General features: G+C 51.1%; 1 annotated feature.

Annotated features, from left to right (window-relative positions):
* Positions 12355-13262: an enhancer, noted in NCBI's record as "H3K4me1 hESC enhancer chr6:167905065-167905972 (GRCh37/hg19 assembly coordinates)". NCBI's record gives its function as "activates a minimal SCP1, AML or CMV promoter by ChIP-STARR-seq in primed H9 embryonic stem cells {active_cell/tissue: H9 hESC(primed)}" and the evidence as "EXISTENCE:reporter gene assay evidence [ECO:0000049][PMID:30033119]".

Below are 15112 nucleotides of genomic sequence, written 5' to 3'. Positions count from 1 at the left end.
GAGAGGCTGTACAGCCTGAGCTGGTGCCTGCACCCCCAGAGCTCCCCTGGGCTCCCGGGCTTCCGTTCAGCAGCTGCCTGATGTGGGGCGGCGAGGACGGATTAGACCCCGTCCCTGCCTTGTGGAATAATGCACCCAGCCCTGAGCACCTGGCAAAATGCCCTGAGAGTCAGAAAGAGGAAGTGGAGTGGATTCAGGGGACCTCTCCAGACCCCTGCCTGGGAACTGCCCCTGTGTGCGCCACCCCCTGCGGGAGGGACAAACCCTTCCCTGATCAATGGCAACCTGGAGGATGAAGGGGCTCAGAAGGCTGCCTTTTCCGCGGGGAGTCCCCCCAGGAGAAAGCTGCACAGGTGGCATATCAGGGGTGTTTGTGTTCAGAGAAGCAGTAGGGGCTGGGCCGTGGAAGAGCACGTGAGAAAGAGAGGATATCAGAGGCCCAGACACACTGAAAGATCTCTGCAAGGGCAGAGACATAGGCCAGACATTTCTAGTTTGAGGAGCTCATGGGGCTGACAGGAGCAAGCTGGAAATGCCAAATGCTAATGTGAATTCTTATGAGTTATTTTTGGATGTGGCCATGCCAATTTTCAAACTGTGGAAGGAATCCGGTATTGATGGTTTGAGTTCCAGGTGAGCCCATCTCAGCCTGTGGGCACCACCGTGCCAGCAGTACCCAGGGGGCCTCCTGCCATCCATGGATCTGTGCACCTCAGGCCCTGTGAAGTCGGAGGCTCTTGCACAATCTGCCGAGCCCTGTGATGGGCTTGCCATTGCAGGCAGGCCTGCTGGTGGGAGTGTGGGCTGAGCCATGCCTGTGGTCCTTATCTTCTCCCCAGCAAATTATCTGGGCTGCATGCTACACCGAGTTCTGCCTGGTCCCTGAGGACCCCAAACCCACTGCAGTCCAACCCTCTGACATTGGCCGACACCGTCTGACTCGCCCCATATCCGAGATCCTCAGACCCACCAGCATTGTCAGCATCACCTGGGCCTCACTCCAGACCCACAGAACCAGAAGCTCTGGGGGTGAGACTGAGCCTCTGTTGGGTAACGGCCTTCCCAGTGCTCTGACGCACTGCAGTGTGAGAAGCTTGGCTCTAATTTTACCTAATTTCTCACCTACCAACCACTTCTATTTTTTTTTTTTAGATCTTCAATGATGATTTCCAATATTCTCAATATCTTCTCTGAAGGCCTTTTCTCTTTTTTTTCCTCCCTGGGTGATCTCATCTGGTCTATGGCTGTAAATGCCATTTACAGGTTGCTCATTTAGAACCCAGGCCCAACCTTTCTCCTGAGCTTCTACCTCCAACCATTTGCTTCTGTACCACCTGTCTAGGCGGCAGCCCAAGCCATCTGCAATGGCAGATGGAAGTTGTTCCCAAATGTTCACTTCCTCTGAGTCATAAGATTATGGTTCCCCACCCCTGCCTTGTGTCTTGGCCCCAACATCTCCATGAGAGAAGCATGGACCCTGCCTTGTTGATTCAACTTGGCTGTACGACCAGCTCTGCTTAATGAGACAAGAGTGGATGTGACCTTGGCCTTCTGAGCAGTCCTGACTCCCTGACCCTCTAAAGGCCTTTATTCTCTTCCTCTTCCTGAAACACGCTTCCTCCAGATGTTTTCACGGCCTGCTTCTCCAATTCCTTTGGGTCTTTACTGGACCGTCACCTCAAAAATGCCACACTGCTGCTCTTCAAGCCAAGCCCCCACCCCCACCCCTCCCGCCACCTGGCTCCCATCATCCTCTGCTCATCTTCGTGCTGCTGGGATGAGCAATTCTCCTGATTGTCTGCTACTGAGGTCCACTACTTCTAAAGGAGCCTCCCAGCTGTTTGTTTCCATGTCTCCAAACATAGCACAGCGTTTCCTGTTTTGTTTTCTTCCATGAGAGGCTGCCTATGTCATTGCTTCTGTCCACTTGGTTGGAAGGTCCTGGAATCAGCTTCCTCCTGAAAGTAGACCCTGTATATCCAAGATTAGACCCTGCCCCACGGTGAACTTTCTGCAGGCAGGAGCTATCATCTAGATCTCTCTGCCTCCATCACCAAACCAAGCACCTGGTTCAGTGCTGAGGCCCAAAGATATCCGTGTGATAGAATCTTTCAAGAAAGGGAGATTTATGACATGGCCAAACCAATGTCTCAGAAAAGTCAATTCAACCCTGAGCAAACCAAGATATGTCTGTGGTAGGATGGCACAAGGAATTCCCATCTAGCTTGAGGCAGCCGCTCCTGGGTTTTTGTGCTTTGCATTCAGAAATAAGGCACTAGAGTAGAGGGTGGCTCAGGGAGCAGAGGGGGTTGGAAGAGAAGTGCCAAAAGCAGCAACATAAATGACATTGGAAGATGCGAGTTCACAGAGATAAGCCGGGAGAGAAGGGATGGAGGGAGGCAGTGGCTGGAGATGGGTGGCATGGTGAGGTCCAGGCTGTGCTGTGCTGCATCCCCTGCTCGGCCCCCACCCCAGGGAGGGATTGGTGCTTATAGGCTTCATGTGTGGTACAAGGAGATGGATGATGCTGATTGTTTTCAGCCCACCTCTTCTCTTAGCAGGGCATACGCCCACCTGACAATTACTTAGTCTGAGTTTAAATTCTTCATCTCAAAGTAAAGAATATGAGAGCATCCCTTTACCCTTAACTAGCACAACTATCAAGAGCCTTCTGGGGCCTCCTTGGGGTAAACTTGGAAACTGCTCAGGCAGGTGGCCACCAATCCTTGGGAGTATAGTTTTTATCAACAACACATTCTTTTCTTGGTGACAAATCTTGCTTCTAAGAAGTTGTCCTTCAGAAGCTGTAATTTTCAGAACATGAGGTGGTAACTCATTGTAAGAAGCCTGTGGGTTATACAAAAGAAAAGGGGGAACGAGACGTATCTTCATGGACAGGGAGCAAAGCTGGTGGGCTTGTCACTCACATTGATGCGACTGATCAATCCAGGGGATGCTGGAATTAAACCAGCTCCTGTGCAGCCCGGGCCGACAGCCCCCATATTTATTTGTAGAGCAGTTTGGTGATAAGAATTGAAGAAGTACTTACTTATGATATTTGAGTTTTCCCAATAAGGCTGGCCATCCTCATTTTGTAGGTGAGGAAAGAGACTTGGAGGAAGTGGGGCTCCGAGGTTGACGCCAGCCATCCTCTGGCTCTCCCTCCTGTACTGTTCCTACTGCTCTCAGAACACCTGCATCTTGAATCACTTGTTTCTCCAACCAGTTCTTTAAGCACCACCCAGGAGTTAAACATTCTAAAACATTTGCCAAATCTTTGTCAAAGCAGGAGCTGGAGGCCAGCGCTTGCCCTGGACAATGGCAGAGTCTGTAAATCCACTTTTTAACACCTGTGGCACCTGTGGGCTCCAGATGGCAGAGGACTCTGATTAGCTCCGTGAACACCATGCTCCAGCAAACAGTGGGAGGCTGAAAGGGAGGCAGCGCTCGTGCATCCACATGGACTCGAATGAAGCCTCCGGTGCTGCTTCCCAGTGTGGACACATTTCCTGGCTGCTTGAAATATCCTCTTGGGCTTGTTAGTGGCTTCGAGCAGGAGCATGGGAGTTGGGTCAGGGCAGGCCCAGGGTGGAGGGGAGTGGGGGCAAAGGGGTGACTATTTGGGAGTTCTGCCCAGGGGGACACTTATTTGTAGGACACTTCCAGATAGTTGAAAGGATATAAAGACTAAAGAAAAAAAAACAGCAATTATCTTGCATGGAGCACAGAAGAATGCCCAAGAAGCACGTACGTGTCAGTCGACGTGAGCGGGGCCTCACTGCTTGGTGACTGCTAGAGAGATGGGGACCGGCTGGTTGAAATCATGGAGACGTTCTCTTCTGCCTTCCCTCCAGTCTGTGGCCCTCCCTCACCCATTGGCAGATGTGCAGATGAGAATCTGGGCACCTGGATTCTGTTCTCTGCTGCCTCCTGCTGCACTCCTGCGAAGGTGCTGGGAACCCCGGCGTGTGGCAGTAACTGTTTCTGAGTCAACGCTAGACGAATTGATTGCGTAGTCTGGGTTCTGATTGTGAGATCCCAGTGTCACTTCAGACGTGTGCCTGACGAAATTTCCCACGCTGCCTTCCCTGTTCACAGCAAACATCACCAATGTGTCTCGGTGCCTTGTCCTAGATCTCTTCCCAACACAATGCTCCCTGCAGCTGCATCCAATGCAGGGAGTTGGCTCATGACGAGGAGCCTGTGGACCTGCGGGCTACAGAGTCATGTGGATTTGGAACCAACCCATGCGCTGGGTCAAATGTGCTGGCTGACAACCACACCTCAGGGGGCTTTGCTGAGATGCAACTTCCAGACCAAGCCACAGGCACTGCGGAAAGCTCCTTCCTCCCGGTGGGGCCAACAGAAGGTCACTTCCGAGGTTCCAGTCTTATCAAACCCCCCATGGCTTGTCTCTTCCCGAATTCTCTCCTCCATGGGTCAGATGTCTGCGGTGCACGTGGCCTTCTCTCCCTCAACATAGTGAGCTCTGCTCAGCCAGCACATCTAACTCAATGCATGGGTTGGTTCCCACATGGGAGGTCTCGTTCATGTTGCTCCCGAGCTTGGGGGGACAACGCCTGCTCTCTCCAAAGCCTAAGCACTGGTGGTGCCCAAGGTGTGAGCACACAGGAGCCCAGAAGGAGGGCAGGATGAGCCACTAAAGGGACCCAGCCAGCTCAGCTGAATGTAGCCCTCCTCTCGTTGCTTTATTCCACCCACCACTGCCCACCGACAGGAATCACTGGAGACACATTTTTGGCTTATATGAGGTCTCAAATTTGTGTTCTTTGAATTAAAAAAGAGGATTGTGTTCTGTCTTGGATCTCCCTTAGATAGCACCGCACTGTCTGGGAGGAGAGCACCAGTGCCAGCTGGGGCAAGAGGGCTGGGGCTGGAGTCAGCACCCAGGGCAGGAGGGCTGTGGCCGGAGTCCAGCAGCTGAGTACTTCGGCCCCCAGGCTCTGTGGTGACCATGGGCCTGGCCGTGGAGGCCGTGGGAGGTGGTGTCGGCCTCATCCTCAGTCTCAGCTGTGAGACTGAGGTTTGCCATGGGCGGGGGCTGTGCGGGCCCAGGGCTAGTGTGGGTGACTCTGGAGACTGGGGAGGGGCAGGGCTTTGAGGAGGGGCATCCTGTATCTCAGTTTCCCCACCCCACTCCCTTCTCCTATTGTGCCACCCTGCAGCTCTGAGAACTGGTTCTTCTCCAACTTCTGTTTCCACTTGAAAGCCCAGGCTCTAGGGGTGAGCTGGGCGGCCTCCTCCCTCTTCTTGGGACGCCTTCCATGCGCCTGTGTGCCGGCAGCACCTCCTTCCATTGCAGACCTCAGCTCAGAGCTCCTCTCCTCTGGGAAGGCCTCCTGGGTTGCTTCGGCTGATGTGGGCACATTTCTCATTGCTCAGTGCCCATAGATGCAGGTGCCAACTGGGTCACTACTGTCTTTCAATTCTGTGGGTCTTGGCTTGTTGGAAACAGAAACTGGGCTTCACGATATTTGTATTTGCAGGCTTACCGTTGTACCGTTGTACCTGACACTCATTAGGTGCTCAATAAACCCTTAGAGAATTCGTAAATCAAGTGGTCTTCAGTTGCTGGTGATGAGGGAGGGGCCCTCTGAAAGGAGAATTACCTGCATTGTAAGGTGAGGCTGGAAGTCTTTGGAAAAACATCATGGGATAATTCAAAAATAAAACCAGGCCTCTGTGACTATTAAATAACCTTGGGCTTTTTGCTTCTGTCTGCCATGCCTGTGTCTGCCTTTGACATAATGGCCACCAACACCAACACCAACACCACTGGGCACAAGATTCAAGATATAGCACTTTAAAATAAGCAACAGATTATTATCCCGGCCTTGAATAAAAGTGTTGGTGTGAGTCTTTTATTTCCAAATTCTATGCTTTCCCATCACAGAGAATCTGATAGGAGAATTCGAGTGGTCGTGACTGCCATGAGCTGCCAGAACATCCTCCAGCAGGGGCACGGCACCCCTGTAGCACCCGTGACATTGCCAGCCCTTTCCTCAGGGCCTCTGGGCCCCTTGTGGGCAGGGCCATCTTTATACCTCCCTCTCTTCCCAGCCCATAACTGGTACTAAGTAAAATTCAAGAATATTTGCTGACTTGCTTGGCAGTGATGTAAGAGAGGCTGTTTACGATCTTGTCCGTGATGCTAACCTGATCTTTGGGAGGGATGCTTAGCGCAAGGTGCAATCTTTCCATTCGATGGTCTGTAAGCAGTTTCTGGAGGAAAACTCCCAGAAATAATCTGAAGAATCAGGAGCACCCCTTCCCACTGCCTGTCAGTGTGCAGTAAAGAGCCGCCGTCATATCAGCAGAGGAGTGAGTTTGCTTCACTCTGGGGGAATGGGGTGTAAAGCAGGAAATAGGAAAGCCAGGATGTCTGGTAATATCTTTGGGAGCACATATGATTACAGGTCTGGGTGACACTCAGAAGTGAGAAGGTTTTGTCCCACCTATGGCAGCTGGAGGCCTCTGTGGCCTGTGTCACCTGCTGTGACTGGGGTTTGTCTCCTCCTCTGCTGTGGGAAATGATAACCACTCCCTAGGTAATCCAGGGTCCAGTTTGGCAATGGCTGTGACAGCTGAGGCTTGCAGAACCCGGAAGGAGGAAGCCAACCTAAGACAGCACTGCCCTTCCCTGTGCCAGGAAGGCTCAACACAGACAGATAGATGCCTGCAGGAAAGGGCGGCTGCAGTGGGAATGTGGACTGAAGCTTAGATGAAATAAGTGCACAAAGAACGCTCAGAATTTGGCTCATTATATTATACAAATAATATCCCAGATACCTGCTGAAATTGGAAGGCCGTACACAGCGACCATGAAAAGGATAAAGTGCAGACTGGTGATTGACTGGTCAATGTGTATGCAACGTGGGCAGCTTGGACTCTGATACTTTGTGCAGGAGACGATAGTCCAAGGATCACCATTATGACACATTATTTCTTAGTGACAGATAATGGAATAAAATCATCTTTATAAATGTTTACCTATTTTTTTAACTTACACATTTTCTATAAAAGTATTATTATTATTATTATTAACAAAGAAGTCTTAGCATTGGATCTCACTTGTTGCTTCTGTGAGGTGCTCGTTCGCGTGTTCCTGGGAGCGCCCTGCCCAGGACCTGCTGGCCGGGTGCAAGCTCTTCTCTTGGACCAGGAACAGACGGGGGGCCTGGTGCTGCCCTGTCTCCTCAGCAGGAGCTTCGGAGAGAACAGTGAATGTGCACAGCACCTGCAGCCAGAGGTGGGAGGGCCAGGAGAGTGCTGGGAGGGGAGGTCAGTGGGGAGGGTGGATGGGCTGCAGGGGTGTCCCCAGGATGCTTAACAGAGAGCCGCAGGCTGATCTAACAAAAGGAATTCTCTCTCTTGGTCCCAAATCCAAGAGCGGAGGGCTGGCCCCCTCAGAGGCTTGGAGGCAGGGTCTGCTCCAGGCTCCCCACTGGGCTGTGGCTTCTCCCTGGCCCCTTTCACGTCACCTTCCCTCTGCACCTGTCTCTGCGTCCAAACTCCCCCTTCTCATGAGGCCTTTGATGGTATTAGATTAGGGCCTGCCTGAATGACCTCATTTTTAACTTGATTTCCTCATTAAGGCCAGGTTTTCACACACAGTCACATTCTGGGGTAACTTAGGACTCCAACATGCCTTTTTAGGGAGACACAGTTTAACTCCTAACAGGGCCAGTGCACGGGTGCTTGGTATTTGGTCACTGGTCTCCAGCCCAGCCGTCGTGGGAGGATCTTGTGAGGGGCTCTGCCGTGCAGGTGAGGAGGGGGAAGGGGCAGAACCACCATAAGGAGCTGGGTGGGAATTTGTGCGGCTGTGCCAGGCTGCGGAGATGATTGGGGGGCACATTCATCATTTAGTGGATGGAGGCTGGGGTGCTTGTCCCACAGAGTGGGGACATCTCCTAATAGAGAAGAGCTGTGTATTAGTCTATTCCACACTGCTATAAAGGACTGCCTGAAACTGGGTAATTTTTACAGGAAAGAGGTTTAATTGACTCACAGTTCAGCATGGCTGGGGAGGGCTCAGCAAACTGACAATCATGGCGGAAGGGGAAGCAAACTCGTCCTTCTTCACATGATGGCAGGAAGGAGAAGTGCCGAGCAAAGGGGAAAAAGCCTCTTATAAAACCACCAGATGTCGTGAGAACTCACTCACTATCACGACAACAGCAGCATGGGGGAAACCACCCCCATGATTCAATTCCTTCCCACCAGGCTCCCCCCACGACATGGGACTATGGGAACTATAATCAAGATGAGATTTGGGTGGGGACACAGATAAATCATATCAAGCTGGCTCTGACTTATATCCTTCATACCTTCCAGATGTCTCACCGGGTCCCTAGGGAGCTAGAAGTTGGCTTGTAATTCTTTGCACTGGAACCTGACTCCATTTTGTATGTAAACATCAAGAATTTTTTGCATGGCTTTAGCGTACACTGAATGTTCCGAGAATGTAACTAGAATAAAGATTGAACTTTGTTTTGTTTGAGGATTTTCTGGGAATTATTTACCATCTTGGGAAATCACGCCGCTGATGTCAATGGCCCTGCAGTCCTCAGGTGCCGGTACCCTGTACTCACGCCGCTGATGTCAATGGCCCTGCAGTCCTCAGGTGCCGGTACCCTGTACTCTCACACTTGTAATTCTCACACTTACAAGATGGTGTACACAAATAAAAGCTTGTGTCTATTGATCTATAATTCCTTACCTGTAGCTCAGAATTCTAAACAGCCTTGAAAACCCAAAGTGCTTTTCTTCATCCATTTAGTGGCAAAATCTGACCTGAAACAACAGGACACGACTGGGGTGTGCAAGGCCCCAGGCAAAGCCTCTTCTGAAGAGCCCTGATTATTTAAACTATTTGAATCACCTACAACCAGCACGTCAGCCCCATTCTGGCAGCCCAGTCTCACACGATTGTGTAGGAGACATGCTGTGCCTACCAGTGGGAGCCATCCTGGGCCAGGCTGTCAGCCTGGAACAGGGCTCGGCCATTGGCCCCAGAACAACCCCCAGGGGCAAGTCCCAGAGTTGGTCAGCCCCATACATGGACTACAGGGTCGGAGGGGCCACCCAGAAGAGAAATGGGAACAGGGCCTATGTGGGCTTAGGTGGGGCTCCAGGTGCTACTCCACCCAGGTGGCACTGCTGTGTGGGCCAGCCCTGTCACTCCGAGGCACGGCAGGTCAGAGCACGTGCTTCCATGAGGTGGTGGTCGGGGGCTTGGGGCCAGGTCCCAGGGCCGGGGGCTGCATGCCCAACCCAAGGGGAGTCTGTGCTATACTCGTGTGAGGCTATTAATAGCCAATTTCTAAAATCCTGCTCTGTGTGATTACACATTGTGCTTGGGAACCATTAATGTGTTTGATTAGAAGATGCTGCTCCAGGTCCTAACAGAGTTGATCGAATGTGCAATGTAAGGAGGCCATTTCCATGAAAAAGTCCTTGGAAACAGGAATTCTGAAACACATCTTCACTCAGGGGTTTCGGATAAAATTAGAGCCCTTTCCTCTAGGGTAATCATGCTTGAGAATTTACATACTAAACACATAAACACAGGATTTTTTTCATTAGTTATTTTCATTTTATTTTTCCTTCATGTCATGGTAGGGGCATCTGTAGATTTATTTGTAAAATTCTGTATGTAGCTGGGTGCTGTTTTCTATGGATTAGATTCATTGTGGAGAGTGTCACACTATAAACAATGGCAAGACAGTGGCGGCAGGAGATGGGAGGTGGCCAGAGACTGAACGCAGCTGCCCCGGCTGGATGGTCTCATTGTTGAGTTCAGGGGCAGGGTGGGTGACTGAGAACCTCTCTGCAAATTCTGCCTGGCTCCCTGGCCCAGAGCTGGCTCAAAGACAGACGGCGTGGGAATCTATCTAGCTGGGGAAAATCAGAATCAGGGGTGCTCTGCTCTCAAAGGTTTTCATATGATAATTATTCAAGGCGTGGAGGACATTGACAGAGGGATGAAATGAGCTATATTAGGACTTGCCTTGGAGATGTCCCCAGGGTCCCTGTGGCTAGAAAAGCCTGGAGACTGAAATGTACCCAGGAAGGCAGCAGCCGCCGGGAGGCGGCTCACCAGATGCCAGGGCAGAAATAAATCCTGCTGGCTCAAGAAGTCAGACCAGAGAAAGAATTCAAATGCAAATAGAAAGGGCGAACTGTGTCCTTATCAGCGTTTGGCACATCTGATAAAACAATGCCTGGCCACTGATGAATTCATGAAACCCAGAGAAAAAACTAAGAAAGCTCCGGGTATGGAAAACAGAAGAGAATCCAGGAAATGGTAGCCTGGCTCTAAACAGCTAATGCTGGAGTGCCTGATTGTAGGTGAGCCCGCTGAAGGGCTGCGTTTCATTTCCAACGCCAGGTGATGTTTTCCTGGGAAAGATCTGGACTCCGCCTCGCCTTCTGCTCACCCAGGTCCACTGTTCCTGCAGCCTCGGGCTCAGCAGTGGATGTGACTTTGGGTCCAAATGACAAGTGTTCCAAGCTAATGCCACGGTCCCCATCAGCTTCTTAGCACCCTTGAAGAATTTCTCAACTCTTCCTGGTGGACCCAGATGTGTGTGTGTGTGTGTATAAGTGTATGTGTGTGTGTGTGTATGTATCAGTGTGTGTATGTGTGTATAAATGTGTTTGTGTATAAGTGTGTGTGTATAAGCATGTGTGTAGGTGTATTTGTGTGTGTAAATCTCTGTATAACTGTGTGTGTGTACATGTGTATGCGTGTCTCTGTGTGAGTGTGTATGTGTATGTGTGTATCGTGTGTGTATGTATATGTGTGTGTATAAACGTATGTGTGTATATGTATAAGTGTGTGTATGTGTGTATAGTGTTTGTGTGTAAGTGTGTACGTATAAGCATGTGTGTATGTGTGTATAAATGTGTGTAAGTGTACGCGTGTGAGTGTGTAAATCTGGGTATAAGCGTGTTTGTGTGTGTGAGTGTGTATATGTGTATGTGTGTCTCTCTGTGTGCGTGTGTATGTGTATGTAAGTGTGTATGCGTGTGTGTATGTATGTGTGTGTGTGAGTGTGTGTGTGTGACACATTCCGGCCCAGTCACCTCTGTTTCCCATGAAACTGCATGATGGGACCTCACTGCTGTACTGGTCAGGGTTCTCCAGAGCGACAGAACCACTGGGAGAGGCAGATACACACTGATTGGGAGGAACGGCTTCCACTATCCCCGTAGCTGGTGCGTCGCAGGATCTGTTGCGTGAGGTTCAGCTGGTGACCCGAAGAGGCGCGGGGGTCCTTCAGTCTGGAGGAGCAGCTTGAGATCCAGAAGAACTTAAGATTCTGCTCGAGTTCAAAAGCAGGAAAAAAGCCGAGGTCCCACTTCGAAGGCTATGAGGCAGGAAGAACTCCCCTCTCCTCCGGGGGTCAGGGGGTTCCTGGTGCGTGTTCTGTTGAGGTTTCTGCTGCTGGATGAGCCCTCACACACACACACATCAGGGAGGACACCCACTTTACTTAGTGCAGCGAGTCAAATGCTGATCTCGCCCAAAACACCCTCTGGACACACCCGGGATAATGTTTCACCCGCAGCCCAGTCAGGTTGGCACAAAATCCAGCACCGCGGCCCATCACGTGAAAAAGCTGCTGCTTCTGTTCTTCGCCACCCCTACTCCATCATGTGAAAAGCTGCTTCTACTGTTCTTAGCTCCCCCCATCATGTGAAAAAGCCGCTTCTTCTGTTCTTCGCCCCGCCACTCCACCATGTGAAAAGCTGCTTCTCCTGTTCTTAGCTCCCGCTCCATCATGAGAAAAAGCTGCTTCTTCTCCTGTTCTTAGCCTCCCCCACCCCCTCAGGCCTCCTCCCAGGCAGCTCCACACCCGACTGGGTCTCGGGGGAGCCCTGCGTCAGCACCAGCCCTCACACTTGCTATCAGGGCTCAGACCCGCGCCTGCAGCTCGATGGAGGCAGATCCCACACATTCCCCTCAACCCTTCTCCCGCCTTCCCCGCCCCTGTTACGCTCATGTCCCATTCACTCCAGAGAACACAAGCGGTTCTGGTCAGGCGGGGTGACCTCTGCCTTGGAGGGAGCCACAGCCATCTGCTCTGTGAGAGGCGGACGGGCCGCACCCAAGGCCTAGTGCGGGGGGTGTGGAGGGGCGTGTTCCCTCTGAGCTGGCTTGCAGGGGCAGCATTCAAAGGGACTTGCATGGAACATGTTGTCTTTTCCAAAATATCAAAGATGAGTAAAAATGCATATATCTAAAGCAGTAGGGGAGGTTAGCTGGGGACCCCCGAGCTCTTGGTCACAGAAGAGGGTAAGTATAGGCTGCACAACTGACCCCCAGCCTTCCTGTTGCCCTTTTAAAGGAGAGCACCCTAAGGAACTGGTCACGTTTCTAAAATGTGTGTGCATGGGAGGGTGTGTGCGAGGATGTTTGTGTGCATGGATGTTTGTGTGCATGAGAGTGTGTGCATGGGAGTGTGTGCATGGGACTGTGTGTGCATGGGACTGTGTGCATGTGAGTGTGTGTGCATGGGACTGTGTGTGCATGGGAGTGTGTGCATGGGACTGTGTGCATAGGAGTGTGTGTGCATGGGAGTGTGTGTGCGTGGGAGTGTGTGCATGGGACTGTGTGCATGGAGTGTGTGTGCATGTGAGTGTGTGCATGGAGTGTGTGTGCATGGGAGTGTGTGTGCATGGGAGTGTGTGCATGGAGTGTGTGTGCATGGGAGTGCGTGCATGGGACTGTGTGCATGGGAATGTGTGTGCATGGGACTGTGTGCATGGAGTGTGTGTGCATGGAGTGTGTGTGCATGGGAGTGCATGCATGGGACTTTGTGCATGGAGTGTGTGTGCATGGGACTGTGTGCATGGAGTGTGTGTGCATGGGACTGTGTGCATGGAGTGTGTGCATGGGACTGTGTGCATGGAGTGTGTGCATGGGAGTGTGTGTGCATGGGAGTGCGTGCATGGGAGTGTGTGCATGGGAGTGTGTGTGCATGGGAGTGTGTGCGCATGGGAGTGTGTGTGGATTCTATTCTTTACTGAGAACATGTAGGAAAGTCATTTTTTCAAAAAGCAAACACTAGTCCTGTGGGCTTTGAAGCAGCATGGGGTCATTTAAAGGCCACTCAATGCCTATCAGAGGCTCCTCCATCCTGACCTGAGATTCTGCCAACATGGTATCCAAAGGTGACTACTCGGGGACTCCCAGAGCTGTCCCAGCAAGCCGATCCCCCGGGGGGAGAAGGGACACCTCAATGCTGTAGTCAATCAATATGCGAATTAATATCCTCCCTCTTCATGCCTTATCAGAAAAACAGGCTTTCTAGAGGACATTATGTTTTTACAAACAGTGAATAAAAAGCCTTTTAAATAACCCGAGTTCAGGTTTTCAGGGGCGGGCAGTCTGCTCCCTTTAGGCACATTTAGTAACATCTACTGGGGTGCCTCAGTTTTTGCAATAGTCTGGTGCTGCCGGCACCTGAGAGGCCCCAGCGAGACCAGGCTTCCTGCAGTACAAGCACAGGGTCTGCAGATGACCTGTCCTGCCGAAAACGCCCGTTGTGCTCCTGATGAAAAACACTGATGTTTTCATTTAAAAAGAGCAAGAAAAAACAAAATCCTGTTTTCTGTTTTTTAAAAAATTACACCAAAGTTTTCCCATCAGGCAAGGTCCCCAAGCCTCCCAGGCGGATCTAGGGACTTTAATTCCCCATTATCCTCCCTCGTGGGGGCTTCCTCTTCCTGCTGCAAGGCTTGGTGACGGCGCCACCATCCTCCCACTGCCTGAGAGACACACCCAGGAACAAAACCTCGGAAGTCCCTCGGCCAGATCTACCCATGACCTGGCCTCAGTTACTCAACCCAGCCAGCCCTGAGTTAATCCTGGAAAAACCAACGAAACTTGCTTTCTTCCCACTCCACCCGCCCGGCTGTCTTCTCGGCTGCTGTGTCTTTGTTTGAGATGGGGCAAGGGGAGGCAGCCGCCCAAGGAGGGCTGGTCTCAGAGAGAGGCGGCAAACGCTGGCACCCGCTTGGCAAGTGCCAGGGATAAGGAGGAAGAATGAAGAGAGAAGAGGCAAAGACAAATATTCTTTTGTAAAGAAGACGAACTGCTGACTTCAGCCAACATAAAGCGTGTATCTATAAAGCACGGCTTTGGAAGCCAAGGGCGTCCAGAGGACAGGAGGAGAGAGCTCTTTATCTCCTGTCTGCCTGGTCTGTCTCGTCATGAGTCAGGAGGGAGCATTCTGGGGTGACGAGCATTTGCTTTGTGGTTGTACCTGTGGAAAACCCATCCCTTGACTTTTCTAAAGCCAAAATTCAAATACGCCTTACCAGGATCCCCATGAATCTGCTGGTATACATCAGAGCAACTATCATCAGTCCTCTGCTCAGGAGAAACTAATCACTGTACCTATGCAGAACACCAGAACAGGCTCACAGTTTCCCAAGGCTGATAAGGAGGGAATATGGACTCAGCCGCCCATTCTGCTGGTCAGCAGCTATTTGCTGAGCCCGTTCTGTGTGCTGGCTACTCGGTTAGATGTTGGGAACATGATGAGGAATAAATAGCAAAGGATAAGTAAACAGACAATTATAACACAGTGTGTGATGGGCAGATAATGCCTCCAAAGAGATCAACACCCTAATACCTGAGCCTGTGATTGTATTACAGTTCATGGTAAAAGGACTTTGCCCATGTGATTAAGATAAAGGTCTTGAGATGGATATCTGGGTTATCCGGGGAGGGCAAATGAATGAAAGAAACAGATGTGACAGTGGATCAAGGGGCTGGGGTGATGTGAGGAAGGCTCTTGAGCCAAGGCATGTGGGGAGCTTCTAGAAGCTGGAAAAAGCAAGGAAGTGTATTCTCCCCTAGAGCCTCTGGAAGGAACGCAACCCTGCTATCTTCTTGATTTCAGATTTTGGATCTCTAGAACTGTCAGAGTATAAATTTGTTGTTTAACGCTGTACCTTTGTGGTGATTTGTTACACAGCAATAAGAAACTCATACAGTGCATAAAATATTACATGGAACCTACTGCTAACACCATGCCTAAAGGTGAAGATCTGAACACATCGCCTTAAGACCAGG

This window comes from Homo sapiens, chromosome 6, assembly GCF_000001405.40.
Source record: "Homo sapiens chromosome 6, GRCh38.p14 Primary Assembly".
Classification (NCBI taxonomy): Eukaryota; Metazoa; Chordata; class Mammalia; order Primates; family Hominidae; genus Homo; species Homo sapiens.
This window is presented reverse-complemented; position numbering and strand designations above follow the sequence as displayed.